Source organism: Homo sapiens, chromosome 8 (assembly GCF_000001405.40).
Source record: "Homo sapiens chromosome 8, GRCh38.p14 Primary Assembly".
Lineage (NCBI taxonomy): Eukaryota > Metazoa > Chordata > Mammalia > Primates > Hominidae > Homo > Homo sapiens.
Window position 1 is genome coordinate 112311364 of NC_000008.11, and position 24296 is coordinate 112335659.

The 24296-nt window shown below is 33.4% G+C and overlaps 1 protein-coding gene across 10 annotated transcripts in view; it reads right to left on the reverse strand.

Moving 5' to 3' along the window:
* The window catches only part of CSMD3 (CUB and Sushi multiple domains 3), a 1214012-nt gene that overhangs the window by 88436 nt on the left and 1101280 nt on the right, over positions 1-24296 (reverse strand). For all 10 annotated transcript variants that reach the window (NM_001363185.1, XM_017013010.2, NM_052900.3 and 7 more), the window contains 5 exons: positions 23966-24111; positions 8538-8618; positions 7474-7587; positions 3066-3254; positions 2543-2689 (listed from right to left, as the gene is read on the reverse strand). In NM_001363185.1, coding sequence (NP_001350114.1) covers positions 2543-2689; positions 3066-3254; positions 7474-7587; positions 8538-8618; positions 23966-24111 — 677 coding nt within the window. The remainder of the gene's footprint in view (positions 1-2542; positions 2690-3065; positions 3255-7473; positions 7588-8537; positions 8619-23965; positions 24112-24296) is intronic.

The following is a 24296-nucleotide window of genomic DNA, read 5'->3' on the forward strand; positions in this document are numbered from 1 at the left end:
CTAACTCTGAGCTTTCTTCCAATTTATATTGTCACCGAAAATGTCTTCTGAATTGAAATGTATTTTCTTAACACCCTGGAGGTTCAGAAGCCCAACAAATATCTAACTGAATTTTGGAAACCGCATTTCCTGTCATTTGAGGGACCTATATGCCACAGCCTTGGTAGCAATATTTTAGAGCATGTCGTTTACATGTCACTTTGAAGTTATATCCAGACACCTCTACCATGTTAGGTCATACATTTCATTTTGGTTGATGTCTAAAATAAGCCCCCACATTCCATAATCCTCTTTCCCAGTCTATTAAAGTGTGCCCATTCTGTCAAGAGCGTTTACATATTATGATACAAATTGCCAATAAAATAAAAAAGTTTTTTCATCTCCTGATGTTTGAAATGCCAACAGATACTGTCAAATAGCTTTTTCATATGTACTTTTGAGAATATTCAGCATGGCAGGTCCCATTTACCTTCTGAAACTTTAATGAATTCATCTGAGAAAAATGGGGCTTTGGGGGTAAATAGTAAGAAACAAATTGGACTTAGGATATATATGTCATAACCTGTCATTTCTAAAGGCAAAAATACATATTTAATATGTCAAGCTGTTCTTGAGGGCTAAAAGTGGTATTTTCATTATATTAATATCCAACTTTGTCATAAATAATAAGAACAAGGATTGGTCTATAATACAGTCAATCTAATACTTACAATTGTTTAATTTGAATAGTTTCCTTTTATGTTATCATGTATCATGAATTTAATGTGCTGACTTTTAAATGCCCTATTTGGGCAACACTTTAATAAAAAGATATTTACATTGTTTATATTATAGAAACATAAGCTCAAGTATGAAAATTCTTCAAGATGACTGGGTGTATCATATAGTTCAGTTTTTTGGTTTTTTTTGAGAAGAAGTTTCGCTCTTGTTGCCCAGGCTGGAGTCCAATGGCGCTACCTTGGCTCATTGCAACGCCCACCTCCCGGGTTCAAGTGATTCTCCTGCCCCAGCCTCCCGAGTAGGTAGGATTACAGGTGCCCACCACCATGCCCAGCTAAGTTTTTGTATTTTTAGTAGAGAGGGGGTGTCACTATGTTGGCTAGGCTGGTCTCGAACTCCTGACCTCAGGCAATCCACTCGCCTCAGCCTCCCAAAGTGCTGGGATTACAGGTGTGAGCCACCGCGCCTGGCCATGTTTCAGTTTTTTAAAACACGTCTACTTTGATTGCATAATAAATTATTTTTGATTTAATAGAAACATTGTAGGATACAATTATGTACATAGTAGTAATATGCTGTCAGTCACAAGTTATTCTAATATGTAAAATACAAATTATTAATTAGTTAAAATCAAACTATCATCTCAGAGTTTTAAAATCAAGGGAATTAAACAGAATTATTCTATTCATACATTTTATATGTAGTTGTAAATTTGTATAAATGAGTAAAATTCAAGAGTATACTTTTTAGAACTGAAATTCAAAATGTATCTGTCTATGCCCGGAATCATAGTGTCAGAGTTTATAAAACATTTATAAAAGGAATTTTCGGTTGAATTGATTACCAATGACACATGATTTGGGAAGCATGGTGTGAACACTGTATAGAAAGAGACAGCTGGCTGATTCTGAGGGATTCTGCTATTGAGCACATATCCATGGCCTCTGACATGATTTAGAATGGTCTCTGACGTGATTTAGAATGGTCTCTGACATGATTTAGAAGGGCAGTAAAGAAAAGGAACATAACCTTCACATAATAGAGGACTATTTATGTACATTTACTCAACAAGAAAATTATTGGTTCAGTATCAGTAGACCCTATAAACAGGAAGACATAATAGAAAAATCTATGTCATCTTGCTATTAACAAGAATTTCCAGCCTACATCTTTCTAAGCATCACGCAAGGAAAAGCAGTAGCGACAAAACGCTTCCGTTTTTAAAAACGGAAGGTTTGTAAATGATGTGTTACTCTCTCTTTCGACATTTAAGATATTTTAGCAAGTATCACAAATAGATGGATAAAAATTAAAACAAAGATTTTGACCTCTGTATGTTTATCCTTTGTTTTAACTTGTCATTTAAAGGAGTTCTTAAATAGGTCAGATAACACACAGCTGAGCAACACTATTAATATTTTTTGTCAGTTCAAAGAAAACAAATCTATTTTTTAAAGTATTAAAAATCACAGTTTAATTTATAACTGACATATAAGTCATAAATATCCTAAATGCTTTTTTAGGATTTTTTAGTCATAAATATCCTAAAATGCTTTTAGGACATATAGGATAATTTATAACTGACATATAAGTCATAAATATCCTAAATGCTTTTTTAGGATATTTTACAAAATCATATGAGGGATGTAGAATTATTATCATTACAATAGGAAATAGAGAGGTTACATAAATTGTCCAGGAACCATCAATGGAGGAGCTGTGATTTGAATTCATGTCTAACTGAATAGTGTCTCTGCTCCTTAATCATAATCATACCGAAGATGATAGTGAGATCTGTCCTGAAGTTATAAGTTTTACATACCTATATATCTTATCCGGAAGCCTTTTTTGTTATTGCCATGATCTGCTGACCACTGAAGAAATACTTCATGACCATTGCTTGTTATATTAAAAGCAGATGAATAATCCCCACTGAGGGAAATAAGCACTGGACTTTGAATATTTGGTCCTTTGGGAAGAAAATAAAACAATTTAGATAAAGCTAATTATATTCTCATTTGTCTTTAGTATTTTATATCTTTAGAATAGTATTAAATATGGTTAAATTGCTTCACCACCAATCTACCTCATTAACAATAATTGAAAACATAAAATGTTTGTTTTAAGCATTTTAATTCTATAGCTAAATGATGTATAATTTGTAAAATAATAGTGGAGCTAACTATAATTTTCATATGGTATAGGAGTGAATTTAATGTTGGTACTTCTAAAAATATCTGTAAGATAAACTCACATAAGCAGCTGTTTATACTCAAAGTTTACATGTATAATTAGAACATTTGTACTTAATTGATGAATATCCAATAAATATAACCCTTGGTTACCATCATACACCTGAAGAACATCAAATTCCTTTTCTGTCTGGAAGAATTCTACAAACATGGTGATATTATAACCCTTTTCCACTGAAATGCTCCATGCACACATTTGAAGATTTGGGTAACTGTCAGGATATCCAGGGCTCAATATGACTCCAGTAGAATCTAGCCGTAATTCATTGGCAGGACAGAGCACTGTCAAAGAAAAATGTCATTAAATAATGCCAGTCTTTTAGAGCCTCAGTGAAAACTGTATTTTAGATACTGAGTATTCTGCTTTCATGTTCAATAGCTATAAGGATGATACGTTGAATTATTTGTTAGAAGAGACAAGTTGTATTAAACTTATGATTCAAAAGCTGGAGGAATGACCTAAAAATTTATAGTATTGATTTATTTTTTATTACATGGAAGATGCACCACTTTCTGGACATAAATAAATACATAAATAAAATATAAGCCATTTAATGCCTCCTCTTTCTTCACATTTTTCCCAACCTCTCCTAATCTTTTGTTCTCCCACCTCTGCCTGTCTTATCTATGTCCTTGCTTTACCTCTTTCTTTCCTTACTTTTTAACTCACTCTCTTCTCTCTTAAACCTTCTACTCACTCAGGTGTGTGGGGTCAGATAGAAAACTGTCCTCTCTCAAAGTATTCATTTCAAGTAAAATCATTTCTGATATCAGGTATATGTTTACCATGAGGATTTAACACAGTTCTGAGTCACCAGTTGCCTTTCAGCTCTACACTATCTCCAGCCCATAAATGTAGCCCAAAGCACAAACTCTTTTTATTTAATAATATACCTCTGCTTTAATATAATATATGTATATATATCAACACACTATAAAAACACATAAAATGTGTTATACATTGACAAAAAACATAATTATGGTCTAACAGCCTGCAACATATAGCAAATTTTAGTTGTTGGCATCAATTGCATTCTGTATCAGACCAAAATTATGAACATCTACTTAAATTTGGATTTAGAATGAAGAATATGACTAAGTTGATCAATCCCTTTTTACTCAAATTATGCCATTTTAATCTCTTACAAAATTTTTTTGAAGTTCTGTGATGTGGAAAGAGTATTGGAATTATTTAGTATGGTCCATTGTGCAGAAGTAAACCAATATGCACCAAACAGGATTTGCTTCAATATAAGGAAGAACTTTCTATTTGTCAGAATAGTATAATGGCCATAGTAAAATGTCTTACGAACATAATTGCTAACCAGTTTTAAACTTAGACTGGACTATCTTTTGGGTGTTCTTACTGAGAACATTTAGGCAACTGAATGAATGGGTGAACTAGATAATTTTGATGATTTGGTTAATTAGAAATATATCCCATGCAATTTCCTAATTCATCTACTATACCTTAGCTTTCATTTTGGAGTTAAATAGCATTGTTTCTCAAAATAATTAGAGCAGCACTTTAAGAAGAATTCCTGTTTTTCAATGTTTATTTGAATGAGTTGGGATTGAAAACTACTAATGTAGTTGCTGGAATATAATAAATAGATGAAGAACTTATATATTCATAGTGTTCAGGGTACAAAGACAATTAAATATTTTTGAGTTATAAAGTCTCCAACAAGTATAGGAGTAGAAAAGAGTAACTAACATAGTGGATTATGGCAGCATATGATTTCTCTATAAACATGTTAATAACTTGAAAAGACTTCTTGAAAACTTGAAAACCGGCCAGAACTAACACATGGCTTTTTGAAAACTGACTATATAATAGAGTTTAAAATATAGTATAGCTAAAGCTAAGAGCTGTTTTCTACTTTTTTTGGATATTATTTCAGTTTCTTCTACTTCAACCTGGGATTTTCCTTCATGGATATAATTTTGAGATTAAAAATATTGCATAAATGGTATCAGGTCATTCTTTCTCCACCTAAAAAGAGAACTCTGACATTGATTTTCAAAAAATTTAAAAATACATAAAAAAGAAATAGATAAACCTGAAGATTGGAAATGATATGGAATATATGAGTCAAAGGCCAAAAAAAAGTAAGTATGTGGCTACGACATATTGAAATGACTGGTATGATCCAATATACTTTACTACAATACACAAATTAATCTATTCTCACATTATCTAACATATAGCAAGAAGCCTGACAGCCACCAAGAATAACAGTAAATATTTGTTGATTGTAACTTTATGTTAGGCACTGTTAAACACCATTGGTACATTATCTCCGTTATCACAACTTTAAAAACTGTGTATACTTTTTATCCCCATTGTACATATGAGAAAACTGATGGCCAGAAAGTTTAAAGTGCTCAAAATCTCCTAGATTCAGTTGCAGCCAATGTTTTTAAACCAGAAAATGTAAGCATCCATTAAATTTCATTTACAACAAACTCTTTACAGAAAACCATATCTGGAATTATTTTCCACATTTTAAGTGAGACACATAGAGCTACAGAGCATCTAGAGAAGAAGAGAGAAGAAAAATGATACTACTACTTTTTTAGGAAAAGTCAAAAAATTTTTTAAATGGACTAAAAACGATGTAGGTTAATTCTAGCCGATTCCAAACAAATGACTGTCTTAGCAAGCTTGTGTAATAAACTCAATTAAACAAAAATGTAAAGTTAGTTTTTTGGCTTAAATGCCTGGTGAAATAATTAATATAGAAACTCTACATAAACTCATTCTAAAGGATGATTTATTAACTTTATTAGCTAGTATCTGAAGTGTTATCAGGAGACAAAAATTTTCTATGTTTTCTGTATTCTCCACAGCAGACAGAATAAGTTCAATTACTAATCTACAGGAAATTCTGATTTGGGGAATAAGACATTGAAAGTCTGAGAGACAAAAAACTGTAAAATATCTAGCTTATCTGAATGTTATATTTACTTTAATTCGTAAAAAATTTTTTGAATTGGGATTCAGATATAAAAACAAGAAGCTTGCTCTCCAAGAGCTCACAATATAGTTTTTATTGGAGTCAAGACAGAAATGCTGTTATGTAATTGGCTCATTGACATATCCTGTGTCTGCTCAACTTTTTTTCCCATGTATAACCCCTCAAAGGTTGAGCCTCTGTCTTCTCTATTTGCATATCTAAATATCTGAACATGAAACCGACATAATCCTAAAGGTCTAGAGAGTAGCCTTACATGAAGGAAAAAGCTGAATGAATGACATCTAAATGTCTGGAATATGTAAGTGATAGACTTCAGAATTCTCAACCAACTTCAAGATGTCCTAATAGCAGTAAGACCATGAGAAATTCTCACATTGGCTCCAATTTATACCCCCACACCCACTTTCCTGCTTTTCTTTTTGCTACCATCAAAGCCTCCTGCAATCTTTTTATCTTCTTGAAAGGCTTTCAATTTTATAGTATGCTTAAAACCCCATAATAATCAGAAGTTACTTTAGACTTGTTATAGCAGCTAAGATACTGCACAAGAAACAGATTTCCAAACGAAACCTAAAGAAGGAATTAATCCAAAAAAGCTAGAAAGAATAATAAAATACAACTCAATTGTATTCAACTTAATCAACATTTATGATAATTGTGTGTTAGGCACTGTTCTGGGCCTAGGGGCTACACAAATGAACAATAAATGTTTTTTGAACATCACAGCTTAGCACATCATTCAAGGTCTATCTTTGCCTTGCTCTTGTAACATAGCGAATCCTTGAAGTCCATGCCCTGTTGTTTTTCACTTCTCTATCTTTGCATATATATCTGCCACTTAGACCACCCTCTCTCTAGCTCTGTTCTACCAGAATAAGACTCATTGTCATTTGGAATTGTGTTTCATGACTCAGGAAACAATGCTTCCATCAAGCTTTCCCTACCCCACAACCGGTTAAAAATTATATGAATCTACAGCTTCCTGGTCTCTTTCCCTAAACACTGTACAGCTATCCCCTGTATGACTGCCATATCCCTTTTCCATGATGCTTCCACAGCGAGGGCCACTTAAAATTTATTTTTTGTTACTCTGCTTGTTTGTTTTTTCCTTAGATCCTCATTGTGTAACAGGTACTCAACAAAGTTTAATGAGTCTAGTGGTTAGATAAGAAGCTCTATCTAAGTAAAAGCAATTAACATTGAAACCTTTATTTAAAGTGATTTCCCTTTCTCTCCACCTCCATTCCCATCCCTAAGAGCAAAATAATTGAAGTAAGTTGAACGGACTTCATGCTAAACCAGAAAAATTTACCCTTGAAAGAATCAAAGATGTTTAAAGTTAAATCTGATAAACAGTGGACTATTTCTAAATGAAATAGCACATATGAGTTATAAAATGTATAGCATTGTTTCCAGTTAAACATTTCATATTTATATAGATTTTTCTCAATCATACCTATATTAAGTTAAACATAAAGCAAATATTTAAGAAATAAATAATCATAGGAACCATTGAATACCTTGACAAACTGGAGGTGCTCCATCCATCTGCAGTCGTTCTCCTAATCTGCACGTCAGAATTGCATTACCAACTAAAGTAAATCCTGGAAGACACTGATACCTAATAATATCACCTATTAAACAAAAGAGGGGAGGTTTCATATAAGCAACAAGGTGATGATAAAAATAAACAAATATTTCAATTGTAGGAGAATATTTTCTCCTTTAGTTATTTTCAATCAGTATAAAAATGTTATTAGGTATAAGTAGGAGTTATATTCAAAATATTGAAAAACCAGTATATAATACTCATTGACCCATCAGGACTGAAGGCAAAAGTGAACTGCCATTCCCTCTGTACTGGTGCATGCTGGCTGGATATAAGCAATAGTCATAAGGAAATAATTTAGTTGATATAGGTGAGATATTCAATAAAAATACAACAAGTAGTTAGAAGGCTTTCTATTTATTGAAGTTACATCGGTCACTGATAGTTTCTTTGTGTGTCTCAACCAAAATCAATATAATAATAATAATGAATAATAAAAGTTTATTACAGCAACATTAAGATGTCTTCGTATATAATTTTTTTTCAAACTGTGTGGCATTATTTGGGTTGAATTTCCAACTCAGTTTTAAAGCAACTTTATGATTAAATTGAGTAGAATCAACTAAGCATTTTCCAAGATATGGAAATGAAATATGTCTTCTAATATGGCCTACAAACCATTCATTCTGCCAAGTCAGGCATAGGCCTGAATTCAAAGAACAAAGGTTAGAACTATAGTGTCAGAAGGCAGCAAAATAATAGTTTGGAAAGAACCATCAGAATACAGTTAACGGCTTCAAATTTTAACACGTTTTCTTATTGTACATTCCAGAAAAACAAAATTAATTTTTCTTCTCTAATAATCCCTTTCCTCTTTTCACTCCTTCTCCCTTCTTAAAAATTCTAAATAATCTCTATCAACACAGGGAATGAGGGTCTCAAGACAGGCTATTACTATTCTGTATTTTGGCTTATTTTTAAGCAAATAGTTCTGCCAGCAGTATGTTTTCCTTGAAAATAATTTAACAGCTTTACCTATTTCAAATTCATCATCTTCCGTCAAAATTTCAGCATTGGGCACAGGTGGTGGAGGTTGGCACACCCTTAGTTGATAGGCTACAAAAATAAACAAAGTGTTTATTCCTTTTCTGTGCAGCTACATGTATTCACATATGCAAAAAAACAAGAAAATTATGGAAAGTTGTTTAAAAAAATAAAAATAAATTACATAATTTATCAAGTGTCAATTACATCTTTATTTTTAAAAATATACTACAACATTACAAAATATTTTCCCATGGTAACAATGCTTACTTTTTATTCTTTATTTCTTACCCTTATTCTAGTCCTTCTTGTTATGTGGTTCAAAACACCTTGTTTTTTTCCTCCTTTGCATGATCACAATTTGGAATTACGTATTCATGTTTGCTTACTTGCTCTGTGCCTATCTTTCCCAATACTCATCACTGAATGCCCTGCACTTAGCAAAGTGCATGGCATACAGCAATAATTGCAAACAAATGCTCAGTGTTTACTTTATTCCAGACAGTATTATAAATACTTAACTCAATCCTCACAAAAAAAATTTTCTTATTTAATTTATGTTACTATTTCTATAATTGCCCCCATTCTTTTTTTTTATACTTTAAGTTACAGGGTACATGTGCACAACGTGCAGGTTTGTTACATATGTATACATGTGCCATGTTGGTGTGCTGCACCCATTAACTCGTCATTTACATTAGGTATATCTCCGAATGCTATCCCTCCCCCCTCCCCTCCACCCCACGACAGGCCCCGGTGGGTGTGTGATGTTCCCCTTCGTGTGTTCAAGTGTTCTCATTGTTCAATTCCCACCTATGAGTGAATTGCCCCCATTCTTTAAAAAAGAAAACTGTTAAAGAGAGTTAAAAATTTGCCCAAATCAAGAAGCTATAACGTGACAGAGCTGAGATTTGAACCTAGATAGCCTGGCTCCAGAGCCTTGTCTTGCCATGCTACTTTAATATAATTATGAGATATCTGTTTATCAAATGTCATGTTTCTAATTATGATATCACTTGAACAGTTCATCTCATTGGATTAGATTGGCATTTGGCATAATTGAAAGGCCACCACGACAAAGTCTCTATGAATCCAAGCTTCATGCCTACTATCCTCACATGACATCTAAAATCTACAACAAAATCATTTGCTTGATTGAAGTCTTTTTTTTTCCCTTAAAGTCTTCTAAAAATGTACTATACTCATATTCATTCAGGAAACATGTTTTATACTATTATAACATCTGAGGCAAATTGTTTTATATGCCTATTTTTACTACTTAAACTTAGAAGTTCTTTATGTACTCAACGTGCTGATAAAGAGAATGAGACTCAAAATACACAGTAGCTTATACAAGAGCACACAATTAGTACAGGACATAGCCAAAAACTGAAGTGTATATCCTCTAATTTCAAAGCCCATTCAACACTGCTTCTATTGCAAAAAAGTATTATGGGAGTATTGAAAAGCATCAACTAGACCAGCTCAGGAAGACTCCTATAGTAGGAAAAGAATGAGATATACTTGAAAGAAGGAGTAAAATTTTTCCAGTTCTGAAGAGTGATCCTGGGGAGAAGAGCATTTCAGGTGGAGGAGAAAACTTGAACAAAAACTTGTGCAAAGCATAAAATCATTGATTCATCATCATCTAACAAAAAGCTATTTATAAGAGATTAATTGGCTAATAAACATTCAGGTTACTAAGGACAAAGAAAAGAAAGACTTTTCAAAATGTAGATCTACAGTGATGAAACAACCAAAAAAATCGTGTTTTAATTTTCTTCTGCAAATTGTTTTCTGTCCCTTCAAACATCTTCCTTCCAGTAGTTTAACCTGTTTATAAAAGCACTTGCTGTGCGTGGATGTTAACTTGCAAGTAAAACACCACTGTACAGAAGGGTTACTGCTAGAGAAGAAAGACTTGCTGGGAAAGAACCCCATGGCAGAAAGTATAATCCAGATTTTTGATAAAATGTTTGGTGGATAGTAATTAGGAATTTTGACAATTGTTTTCCTGAACTTATACTTTAAAGGGGGTACAGTGATAAAGAAAAAAGGTAATTGTAAGAAATGCCTAAAATGTAAGAGAAAATGGAGAAGATAGGGGGAGCCTAAACAGAGAAATCTTTCTGAGACTATGCTTTAGAGAAGGCTTTGTCTGATCTTACCAGAGAATAGAGATCAACTCAGAAATTACAGAAATGTAGAGATGCTCATACCTGTATTATTTTACTTGTGTTTTTCTGTGAAGTTATTTTAATCTTCATGCTAATCCTAAATTGTTTGATTATTGTAAACAAGAAACACTTTTTTATGTGGAATCCATGACTATTATCATCTGTGGAATATTCTGAGAATGACCTAGATAACTCAGTCACAGGATTTAAAAGATCAAAGGTTGTAATTTTTTACTAAAGAAGACTATGATGCTCAGAGTTATTATGTTATTTTTCCAAGACAACATGGGTGCTGTGAGCTAATGTCTTATTCTCTGTTCTTTCCTATCACTGTCAGTTTTATAAAATGTGTCCCTAGAAGCTAAGAGATCACTGTGAGCCCATGGAGGGTCTGAGGTGTAATGTCCTTAACTTCCAACTCTACTTCAATAAGAACAACTCTATTCTTATCAATTGTATAAATTTGAATTCTGAACAAACTTTCCTTTGAATAAACATTCTACATTCTTACCTAAGTGATTCCCTTGATTCTTTTGGCTACAATTCTGACTCTGTGTCTCAATTCCCAATTCTATATTGCCAGGCTAAACATCTCTTCTGACCTCTTCATGCCTCCCTTTCCCACTCCTCACTGTTATTTTCTAATCACAGAACCCCTTTTGTGGCACATGTAAACACGACTTGTTCAAAGTGTGTTATTTTCCATTTATTTGCATGCTTGTTCATTGGGTCCCTATGTAGACTTTAAGTTACATGACAGAGGCTATTTGTTTATCTACCTTTTTCACTATCCAGGAATTAGTTCTTGTCACTATACTTATAATTCAACTAATATTTGCTAATAACTGACAGAATGTAGGTTTCTTCAAGAGGGAAGCAGTCTCTCAACAGTCTTCCCTAAGATGACTCCCAACTTTAAAATTGCCAGTGGGGATGAAATAGAAACAATTGAGTGTCAGACAATGCTAAACATTGAAATATAGGCAAGATCTGGTTAAAATGCTTTTCAGGGTTGAACTATGTAATTTTGAATAAAAAAGTAAAGGGGAAAGGAGTAATGAAAAACAAACAAACAAACAAACAAACAAACCTCTTTTCATCTGTTTCTCTTTTGACTTTTGAAGACCAAGCACTACAAAAGGCTTAATCATAAGTAGCTTGCAACAATTTTGTTTTCAATCTTCATCAATCTCTACTAGTATGTTCTTTAACATAACTCTATGATTTGTCCAATGTCTCTCCAATCTTGCTGCCAATATCTCAGTCTAGATTCCTGCCATTTAATTCCCGCTGTACTGGGTTGAATAGTTTCACCTAAAATTCATGCCTTTCCTGGAACCTAAAAATGTTATTTGAAATAGGGTTGTTGCAGACGTAATTGGTTAACTTAAGGTTGTATAAAATTATGGGGGTACCCTTAATTCAATATGACTAGTGTCCCTATAAAATAAAAAGAGACACAGAGATGATCACACAGGTAAGATGGTCATGTGATGATGAAGGTTCAAACTGTAGTGATTCATCTATAAGCTAAGGAATGCCAAAGATTGCTTTTAAGCCACCAGTTTGTGGTACTTTGTTTCAGCAGCCCTAGTAAACTAATACACCTGTGTTATTAAATTGGCCTATAGTGTGTTCCTTACCTTCAGTGTCTCCCTGATACTACCCTTCTTACATACAGTGAAGTGATAGAAGAGAATCAAGGAAGTATTTACCTGGAATCCACTTTGTACAAAGGACTCTGAAAAGTCCTTTACATGCCTCTTTCATTAATCACTAAAATGCCACATCAAAATATGTGTAAATATACTCATGTTACCAAAAGGGACACTAAATTTCATAGTGGTTGAATTATTTGCCCTACTCACACAGCCAGAATTTGAACCAAGTTCCAATATAAAATTAAGACACATTGTCTCCCCGATTTATAGATAAATAAACCTCATTTTGAATATCATTTTGTTGCTGCCATTTCCCTATTTTCAATTTACAGTGTTTTTTTATGGCCTACAGATTGAATTTATCATCTTAGATAAAGCAAGATCATTACCCTAATTCTCATCAGTCTCTCACACAAGATGTCTGCTATATACAGCTGAACTTTCCTGGGTGCTTTGTATTTGCCATGTTCATTTCCTATCCCACATCTTCATTTCTGGCAAGCTTGCCAGCCTAGAAATTGGCACCATAATATTTAGCATTTAGTGTTTCATTGTGTTGAATTGTTTTATGTATTGGTTCACGTTCCGCGTATAGCTTATGTATTTTGTATTGTATTTGCATTTCCTACAATACCTAACACATTTAATTTAGTTGTTTATTAAATAAGTTATTATTGAGCTCCTATGATCTGCCAGATGCCAGAAACCATAATAGGTGCTGGAAATGCAAAGGTAAGCAAAGCAGACAGAAGCCTGCTCTGTATATGCTAATAGTTGGTGAGAAAGATATTAATTAGTAGAATTTAACTAGTTGAAGCAAGGGGTGTGTGTGTGGGTGTGTGTGTGTGTGTGTGTTTTCTGGAGATGAATGATAGCCCTAGTGAGAGAGAGGAGGGATCGAAAAGAGCAAAAATCAGGGGCTAAATCAGACAGGATTGTACAAGTTATACTCAGGATTTCATTTATTTTAAGCTGAGACCAATGGGAGGCCTTTAAAGAGATTTAAGTTGGAGGGGAATGTGGTCAGATTTATCCTTTAAAAGATCACTCTGGCTGTAGTCAGAAATTTTTAAAAAGCACACACACAATTGGAAGAGAACAAGAGTGGATAGCAAGAGACTACTAGAGTCTATATTGCAGTGGGTGTTAAATAAACAATTGCTGATAGAGTCTACATAACTTCTTAGTGTCCCCAAATGACTTACGCATTAAATTAAAAGTCTTGATTATGACCTCCAAGGGTTTCTAACTTTGTCTGATTAACTTCATCCCCACCTATTAACCAGCTTATATTTTTAGCTATAAATAATCAAAAAATAGTTTATCTCCTCTACTTAAAATTCAAGTACCACTGATAGGCATGTGGCCTATCATTCTTACTTCTTAAAAAAATGTTAAACCACATCTCTTCATTTTTAATACTAAATTTCAAAAAATCAAACCTGTCTACAACCTCTTACTGTAGTCTTTTTAATTACTGCATCAACAGAGCTCTTAAATGGTTGAGAGCTTAACATTTGATAACATAGCTAAAATTTTATGTTCTGTATAATTTTCTTTTGTCTTTCATTTTCTTGAAATCTATCTTCCTAGCTCTTTTATAACTTTGAACATGACCAAAACAGAGATGTCTTCACTGATAATGCTACCTAAAGTTGATCCTTTGCAGTTAACTTTGTTTCACAGTCTGGCAATTTTCACAATCTGTAAGAATTATGCATTTGTTTACTATCTATTTTCTTATACTAGAATGTAAATTCCATGAAAGCAGGCATTTTTGCTTTTCTTATTAACTACTAACTCTTTAGGGCATAATCCAGTGTTCAGCACGTAGCAGCATCCAATAAATATTTGCTGAATGACTGACTGCTAGAGAAATGAAAGAATGGATGCCGAATTAGTGTATATACATATATATTACATATAAGTATATATATGAATGAGTATATACGTATGATATATAACACATTCTTATGGTATTGAGTAAGGACATAGTCTAGACTCTTTGGCTCTTTGGGTTCGAATCTTATTTTGAACACTGAAAAACTGGCAAAACTTGGGCAAGTTATTTATCTTTCTGCTTTGCTTTCCTCATTTATAAAATAATAATGATAATAGTAATAATTTTATGCCATCCCAAAGGGCAGTTATGAGAATCAAATGGGTTTACACATGCAAAGCATTTGGAATACTGTCTGGCACATTTTAAGCTTATCTTTCAATAAGAATAAACCACTATGACATCAAATTGGGTTTCTATTTCTTCAAGATATTTGACATTCACAAATAAATAACATAAATATTAATATTTTCTGCTTTTCTTAACTTTCACTTCTTATGTATAAAGGACATTTTGATTTGGCAATTATTTACAGAATTATGAATAAAATTGAGGCATGTTGTCTTTGTTGGTCAAAGAAAAGGGTGTAATGATTGTGAGGTGTGATGCAGCAGATGTTTTGTAATTGAAGGCAACAAAGGGGAATTAAACATTGTGCAGCTCTGCTTCTCTTTCTGAAGATGTTTCTATCAAACCAATCAACATCATAAAAAAATACATAATCCAGTTTGTATTGATAACTACATTTGTGCACAAAGCAGGCTGATCAAATATTTACTCTGTAACCAGACTGATGGTTCAAATCTCGGTCTGCTGTTGGCTATTTCCATCACCTTAGGCAAACTGCTAAGAATCTGCTTCAGCTATCTCATCTGTAAAATAGACATAAAGCCAAGATTGAGTTAAAATATTATAAAGTGCTTAGAATAAGGCCTGAACATATTACCAGTTAAGAGGGAGGGTACATTCCGCTTGACAAATATTGGCATCAGCATTTCTGCTGTGATGATGTTTGTGCCCCATACTCATGTAACTTCAATCTGACGTGACCTTCCTCACAATGGGTCATTCAAAGCACCCACGTGACTTCCCAGAACGTATCTAACCATTTGTTTGTTTCTTTTCTGATTTAAATTGGATATTCTTGGCCAGGCACAGTAGCTCATGCCTGCAATCCCAGCACTATGGGATGTGAGGAGAGCAGACCACTTGAGGTCAGGAGTTTGAAACCAGCTAGCCACCTGCAGAGACAGGTGAAACCCTGCCTCTACTAAAAATACAAAAATTAGACAGGTGTGGCGGTGCATGCCTGTAATCCCAGCTACTTGGGAGGCTGAGGCAGAAGAATCACTTGAACTCAGGAGACAGAGGTTGCAGTCAGCTGAGCTTGTGCCGCTGCACTCCAGCCTGGGCGACAGAGTGAGACCCTGTCTCAAAAATAAATAAATAAGTAAATAAATAAATAAATTGGATATCCTTGTTTTACATTGATGTACCTTATACTGTAGTATAAAATCCATGAGTTTAGCAACACACTGTATCATCCTATATAATATGTAAGTGTCTGTGGTCTCAAAACTATTAGCACAGTGCTCTGGAAATCACTTAAGAAATACTAATTAATAACAAATCAAAGTTAGAAAATACCTCATTCTGTATAAAATATATGCTTTGGTTACTCAGGAAGAAAATAAACAGGTCTGGTACAAATATATCCAATATTGTACAGGTTAGGATCATAGACAAACTGGAAATAATCTTAGAAATCATTTCTCCTAGACTCTTTAAGGGGTAGTAGGAAGATGACCTAAATAAGTGAAATGAGGTGGACAAGGTCACACATTCAGCCACTGGTGGAACTGAAATGATTAAATCATATAAATTATGTCATCTAAACTTTAAATCATATGTACATATATGTTAGTCCATGCTTTTCATGGATTGTTCTATTTAGAAACAGTTTGCAGCCATGACCATTAACAGAAAAGCTGCACAAAATAGATATTCACACTTTAAAAATACACATTGGAACTAAGTATGTGTTCTTTTTAGAAGAATCATGTTATCTGACATGCCCCACCAACTTTTAAACACCATTTGCTATCTAACAACTACTAACAACTACATGAGAGCATCGTATTCCACATGTCTGTATCTTCTGAGGATGGCTATTATTTAAATAGTTCTCTGTTTTTGTCCAAATGTGCATAGATATCTGGTTCCTCGTCCAACAAATATGCTTTTTGAAATTGGTTTAAGATTTGATTCTGGCAATAGTTTTTCGTTATTTTTAATTTTCTATTTTCTTTTCAATGAAACATCCAACCCAATTCCAGAAAATAATGCTGCATGTATCTACTTCTATTCAATGCGCTATTAAAGCCTTCTTCAAAAAAGACAAAACAGAACACTGGCAAATTGCCATTCCTTCTCCAAACCAAAAAAAGCACAAGCACATAACCTTTCTGCCAAGTAAGGACACAGTATTCCTTACAGAGGACAGAAATAACGTTGCATATTCCCTTATAAACTCTAAGCTCTATATAAGCCCCAGTGTACTTCAGTGCTCATCCAGATTAGTTCAAGTATGATAATCTCATGATTTGGGGGAGAACAACCATTGATAAATTTTATGTTCTGTTATGCAGTTTGGGCAGTGTTATTTTTAAACTTATCTGAAATAAGCTTAAGCTATTTCACTTGAAAGCAGAACTAAGTGTATTGAAATTAATGCTACCTTAGTTTTAATTGAAGAGAAGAAAACAATAAATTTGTTTTCCATTTTGCAGAAAATCTGCCAGTGAGTTGACATGAAGATAGAAGTGTGTTCCAGCAGGGTTTAAATTACTTTACAAATATCCCTTTTACATCACTAATATTTTATATTCAGTTTGTTTCTCTGCCTCTATAAGGGAGAATATTAGAAATCAAGAGTGAATGCTTATTTGGATTTAGAGATGCGAGAAAGAAAGTTTCTATCATGAGGAATGAAAATGAATCAATGATCTGATTTGGTTCTGTGTCCTGACCCAAATCTTATCTCAAATCATAATCCCCATAAGCCCCATGTGTTGAGAGAGGGATCTAGTGAGAGGGGATTGGATCATGGGGGTGGTTTCCCCGATACTGTTCTCATGAGAGTGAGTGAGTGCTCATGAAATCTGATGGTGTTTGACAGTTCCTCCTTTACACACTCACTGTCTCTCCTGCCAACATTTAAAACGTGCCTGCTTCCCCTTCTGCCATGACTGTAAGTTTCCTGAGGCCTTCCCAGTCATATGGAACTGTGCGTCAATTAAACTTCTTTCCTTTATAAATTACCAAGTCTTGGGCAGTTCTTTATAGCAGTGTGAGAATGGACTAATACAGTCAACAAGAAGTCACTCTTACTATTTACCTAGAAAAGAAATAACAGAAACTATTGTGAAACAAAACTACTGGGATATCTGCTGCATTATTGTAAGAACATTTCAATATCTGTTGCATGAATTGTCTTCTCCGCATGCAGACAGCTAATTTAAGGTATGCTGCCTTAGTGCTGAGCCCATTAAAATCTGAAAAATAATGTGCCAAAGACCTCTTCTCTACATTGTTGAGTTCCCTGGCATATAGACCTGGCTCTAATTGATAGGCATTGTCTCCTGTTAAACATAAACAGTTTCCCAGAAGACAAGGTAATTCTTTGACCTTGTTGAAACAAGCGAGAAATAAGACCTTTCCATAGGCATAATCAGAAAACAAGAACACTGTTCAAATAATCAAAATGACAGTCTTCCACCTCAGCCAACATTAGTGAATAGTATTTCCACACTAATTATATAGGTATATTCCATTCCCCCCCACCTTCTAGAAAAAATACTAAGATATCCAATCATAAAACTGCTCAAATTTTCTAACAGCACCCAATCCAGAAGAAAATTATGTTTCCTTGAACCCTTCTCAAAACCATCTCATACAGTCAAATTCCTTTATCAAGCCTCTCCTGACACACTTTTGCTGAGATCACAGAGTCCCTCATCATATGTTGTCTCACTCATTATCATGAGCTAATAAATCTAACTTTGTTTAACAGAAGTTGTGTTCCTGATAGTCTTTGGCTGGAGGCAACAGAAAGTAAGATATTTAAGAAAATAAATACCATACCTTATCAACTGGGCATATACATACAGTGAAGTGTCAAAAGATAGTAATTTTGACATGACTTTTAGTTTTGAGTAATAATTAAGTAGTCATTTAAGTCATTTAACTAACAGTAAATGGTATTTTCCTTTCCTCCTAACAGTTCTAGCAGTTTGGGTTTTAGCTCCATTGTTTCATTTTATACACACATATACACACAAACACACACACACATACATACACACACATACATTATTACACGATGTCCATACCCCCGTTCTCTCTGGACATCAAATAATAAAACACTTTACGGGTTCTGTGCTCTAGCTATTACAATACAAAAGGAGGTCAGGTCTTTAGGTTATGTGAGGCAAAGGGGTCACACAGTTAAAGGCAATCGTGACTTATGGTTTATATAAAGCATGTCCTTACATCTGCAGCAATCTCTTTTAGGATGAGACTTTGTGAAGTTAAATATACTTGTTTCCAAACACAGCATTTATTGTAAAAGTAGCATAACCGTAAAAGATGACCTGAAACACATTACAGGCCTTTTAAATACATTTCTTTACAATAATGAGTCATTATGTAATCAACTCATTCTTCAATAGAAAATGTGCCAATAACAGAAAATAATAACATAATTATTAAATCATATTATGCTAAGAAAATCTTCCACTTACAAAGTGAATTTCCCTAGTACATTGATATTAGAAAATCAAGTGACCTGGATAATTGGCTTAAACACCATAAAATAATTTCGGTATTAAATTAGTAAATACATATTTTGGCTATACTCTAGTCGCCTGGTTATTTTGAGTGACATAAGCCAGATCTCAATAAAATTTTTTCTCTTGGCACAGTGCCCACAGGCACATTTTAGAAACTATAAAGAATACATTGAGCTGTGATAAATCTATAATGTACTGTCACTACTTTGTAGATCTTGGGTAAATGAAGCAATAAGAAGCTTAAAGCTTCAAGTTATAATTAGGAGGCGTATTTGAGAAAATGAGATGACCCATCACATTGCTAAAAATGAAAATCACTTTGACTAAATTTTTAAAGAACAATTAGGTTTATATACCATTAAATATAATCTATTCATGAGATAATACCAGCTTAGAACATTGTCTGGCACTTAATAAGAATACAATGAATTTTAGCTGTTGTTATTGTTGTTTTGATTTTTCAAAAAGGGATCATTCTTTGAAGTCAGGCAGACCTATTTTGAACTCCAGCCAGCCCTTCTACTTATTAGTTCTCTGGCTTTATGTAGGTTATCCGGTTTTTTACTCAGTTTGTTCATTATTAAAATGAAGATAATAATACTTACCTTATAGGGTTACTATGAAAATTAGCAATAATACATGGAAAGCACCTAGCACAAGGCTCAGCATATTAAATTTTCAATAAATGGTTGTTACCACTAATATAGTGATGGCTATACAAAGTCACTGCAAAAAGAACACTCAGTTAAAATTTATTTTGAGTAATTTATCTTTCAGGGGGTCATTAATTAGGACTGAATATTATTATTAATTATAAACCAACCTCATCTTGACTCTACAGCAGATATGAAGAAAATGCGGTTCTTATTTTAGGAAATCATAATTATAGCAACACAAAGAGATACAAAAACATTTCCTCAAATGAGAAAAAAATATGATATCTGAGGTAAACTGCCTCAACATTTACGCTTGTCCTATTTTTTCATTGCAGAGAGCTTTCATTTTGCAAAGCTTTTTTATAAATGTTATTTTTGATCATAAAAGGCTTTACGAAGGTGATGTTTTATAAAAGACAGATGGCTGCCTGGATCTTATAAAGGAAGTTAGGTTAGAGAAAAAAACATACATTTTTTTCCCTCTCTTTTCCAGCACATTCAAAATATATCAACAAATAAAACTTCAATGATCAATGTGACCTTAAGAAAATACACAAAAATATTGAACTGTCAACCTTATAAAATAAATATACAAGTCTTGAGAAAATCACTTCTGAATTATAAAGCAAGGTATATCAGAAGTAACTATCAAGTCTAAGAGGATATAAAGAAAACTGGGTGGGGTAGTAAACCATTCAAAGATTAGGCATACTCAGCCAGCTTAAAATAAGTGTTAAGCTTATAATGAATTATATACTTGGTTTATTTATCAAAAATTCCAAATAATTTGACCAATTTTTTACTATTATGAGATTTCCTTATGACATTGAGCTTATAGCTCAAATTAGTATTAACAGGCATATCTTCTTGTTCTTGTTAAGGAGGATGTAATTTAGAAATTACACATTTAGTAATTCTAAAATGATCTTTGTAAAAGTTGTTACTAACACTGCTCAAATAAATGCAAACAACTTTTTAAAGAGTCTGAATGCACACTTCCCACTGTAACACTAAAATACAATCAGTCAATAACAAAAATATAAAGAGGATAAGAACAAGAAATTTGTATCCTCAAAAAACAGTCAATAAACTCCTAAGGCTTATAAAATAATACACCATATTGTAATTAAGTTTTCAAAAGTTTGGTAAAAAGAGTAAGTGTAATCATAGAAGTGATGGCAGTGATCACCATGAGTTCAAATTATCAAGAAGTGGAGGAAATGGGACTTAACATAAAAAGACTTAAATAACTGAAGATGAGTTAAGAAACCAAGAGTATTTATGATGGAGATGAAGATGAGATTTAAGAATGGAAGTTCAGGAGGCAGTGAGAAAACCAACCTGACTGAAGTTGTGTAGGGACTGCAGAGTAACAATCAGTGAACTGGATTATAGGGTAGCTTTAAATTAGATTTAATGTAGGCCTCATGCATTCTTGAAAAGGCAGGTAGGAATGAAAGCAGTGCTTTAGAAAAATTATCCTATTAGGCTAGAGAAATTTAAAGTATCAGTCAATTTTTAACATGAACTCTGGCTATGCTCCCAAACTTCAAGTTTATTTTAAAATTTGGGTAGAATCTCCATAGCTGTTGATTCAAACAGTAGGCTTCATTAGGCTCTGGCAATTTTTTTGCACCTTATTATAAAATCTAATGAATAAATGTCCTATTTGAAAAATCTAAAATGTGAGGTAAGATATGGTATGGAAACAGATATTTACTGAACATCTGCTCTGCCAGGCATTATGCTACCTGTATATTATCAATTATCTCCAATTCTCAAAACGTCTCCTCAGCTTAAAGCTGATAATAGTAACAATTACAATATTTCTACAGTTGAGCTATGTAAAATTGCCCATAGGATTTTTTGACCAATGATTTTATATGGTTCAACCTAATATATGCCAGTAATTGGAATAAATTATACATATATAATATGACATTTAATCCTCTCAGCAATTCTATCACATTGCTTTACAGCTGAGGAAAGTAGAGATCAAAGTGTAACTTGTCCAAGGTCAAATAGAAAATCAAGGGTTAAATGAATATCTGATCTGTTTTATTTTTATTGATTGATTGATTGATTGATTTTGAGACAGAGCTTCACTCTTGTTGCCCACGCTGGAGTGCAATGGCGCCATCTCGGCTCACTGCAACCTCTGCCTCCGGGGTTCAAGTGATTCTCCTGCCTCAGCCACCTGAGTAGCTGGGATTACAGGCATGAACCACCACGCCTGGCTAATTTTGTATTTTTAGTAGAGACGGGGTTTCGCCATGTGGGTCAGGCTAGTCTCGAACTCCCGACCTCAGGTAATCCACCTGCCTTGGCCTCCCATAGTGCTGGGATTATAGGCATGAGCCACTGCGCCTGGCCTTGATCTGCTTTATTCTTAAGCAATTCTATTTCTATCACACATGTCTCAAAGCCCACTTGCAAAAGTCAAGTGAAACATTTTGAAATGAGGATATATGTTTATATATTCATATATGTGTATATTTAAATCCACACTAAGATTTTGTGTTTATGTATATCTATTATCCACATATTTTTATATGAATGTTCAAATTCTGTCTCATACACACACACACACACACACACACAACACTGACATCCTTTCCTTTGATAATATTTTTCCCTTGAAATGTCTCCTAAATTTATAAAAATTTTATACTTCCTATAGGGTTATCTTGTGGATATTTATAGTTCATCAATGAATAGTCCTTTCTTTATGATTTCAAGCAGTACATAAAATGATAAAAAATATTGAGGCAGAAATCCATGTGGAGATAAAATGTACATAATATAGTTTGGCAACTAATTCATTTTTTTATCTTAATGATTATGTATTAGTTCCCGAATTATGATTTTCTATCAAAGTAATAATTCTATTGTTTCAGCCTTAGGCTATATCTGCAAACTGCCAGCATTAATGATCAACTCAGTAGGAAAGGCAAATAAATTATTTTTTTAAAAAAAACAGCCGGAATAAAAGTTGTCTGACTGAATATCCAACTTTCCAGAAGAGATCAGCGTGTTCATGGTGGTATGGCCATAGACTGAACCCCTGACTTTTCAACTGGTTATGTTGGATTGCGTATCAGTTCTGGATGGCAGTGGATCACTATGGAGAAACTAATTAGATACCATCTAATTGGCTGATAAGTGCTCAAATTAAGCAACTCAAACATTTTATGATAAATTTCTGACTAGATCCCATGTGCTTTAAATGTCTTTGAACACAATCACAGTTGATTTACTATATACTATATTTTTCATGGAATATAAGCTTTAAGTATCAAATATTTAGCTACTTGTATATTAAAAAGGTGAAATGCTAAGTCATACATTATGTAATGGGCAAAGCACATGTCCAGCCTCACATTTTCATATAATTTTTGCAAACTTAATTTAGTAGATTATTGGTCTTGTGAAATACTCATGGAATTAGTCTGACAAAGTTATATGAGGCAGAATGTGTTATAATGAGACTGTAGTCATAGCAGATAAAAGGATGTAATCATTATAGATAAATAGCCATTTTCTTATTAATAATGGAATACAACCAATTGAGGATTAAAACAAAAATAAAGAAGAGAAACACCTCTGTGAAACCTTCTGAATGTCCTTTCAAAAAGTTAAGTTTATGAATACAGAGCCCAGAACAAAGGATCCTATACAATGAAATCAAATTGAGACTATACATAAATTATTCCACAGCAGTAAAAGCTATGAACTTAATGATCTGGAATAGTCACTTAAAACTGTAAGATTCTAGAATAGACACAGTTTTGAAACAACAGTATAAATGAATGAGTAATGTGATCCAAAGCGTGAAGATACTGAATGCCAATTTTAGAAAGAGTCACAGCAGGTTGAATAGATTAAACATTTTGTATAGGAAAAAAATCTATTGACGTCTCAAAATTACATGCACTAGAGTATGAACAGCTGGTTCTCCTTTATTGGTTTTCATGCAGAAATGATTATTTTCCAGTGGGTAATTACTGACTGATTTATTTCCTATATCCATTTGCTCACATTTTAATGTCCCTGAATACTTAGAAGAGGTCATCTTTTGCAAGGAAATGTGTTTGAAATGCTAAAGTTACTGTGATTATAAAATTTCTAAATTTTAATACCTTTTCAATCATTGGTTAAATATATATTACATTCACTTTTTTCCAGGACAAATTAAACAGTAGCAAATGAAATAGGAACTCTCAGATAATACCAACCGTGATAACTGAGCACAAAAAAGCCACTTGTTGTGAAATCACTGTGGAATTTGATTAGAATCTGATTTGAAGTACTGTAGACTGATTCCAAAGCGGTATTGCCACTGAACTGACCGATCTGAGGTGAATTTTGGTCTGGTCCATCCCTATGAGACAAGGATTGGGAAAGGAGGAGAGATCAAGATTGATTGTGGAAGTAGTTTTGAACCGTATTTAATAAAAGTATTGCATATATTTATATTCTAACGTATCAATAATAAAGATGCAGGAAGCTAACCAATGAGTACAAATTATATATTCTATATCTATGTAGGTGACCACATATTTTTAA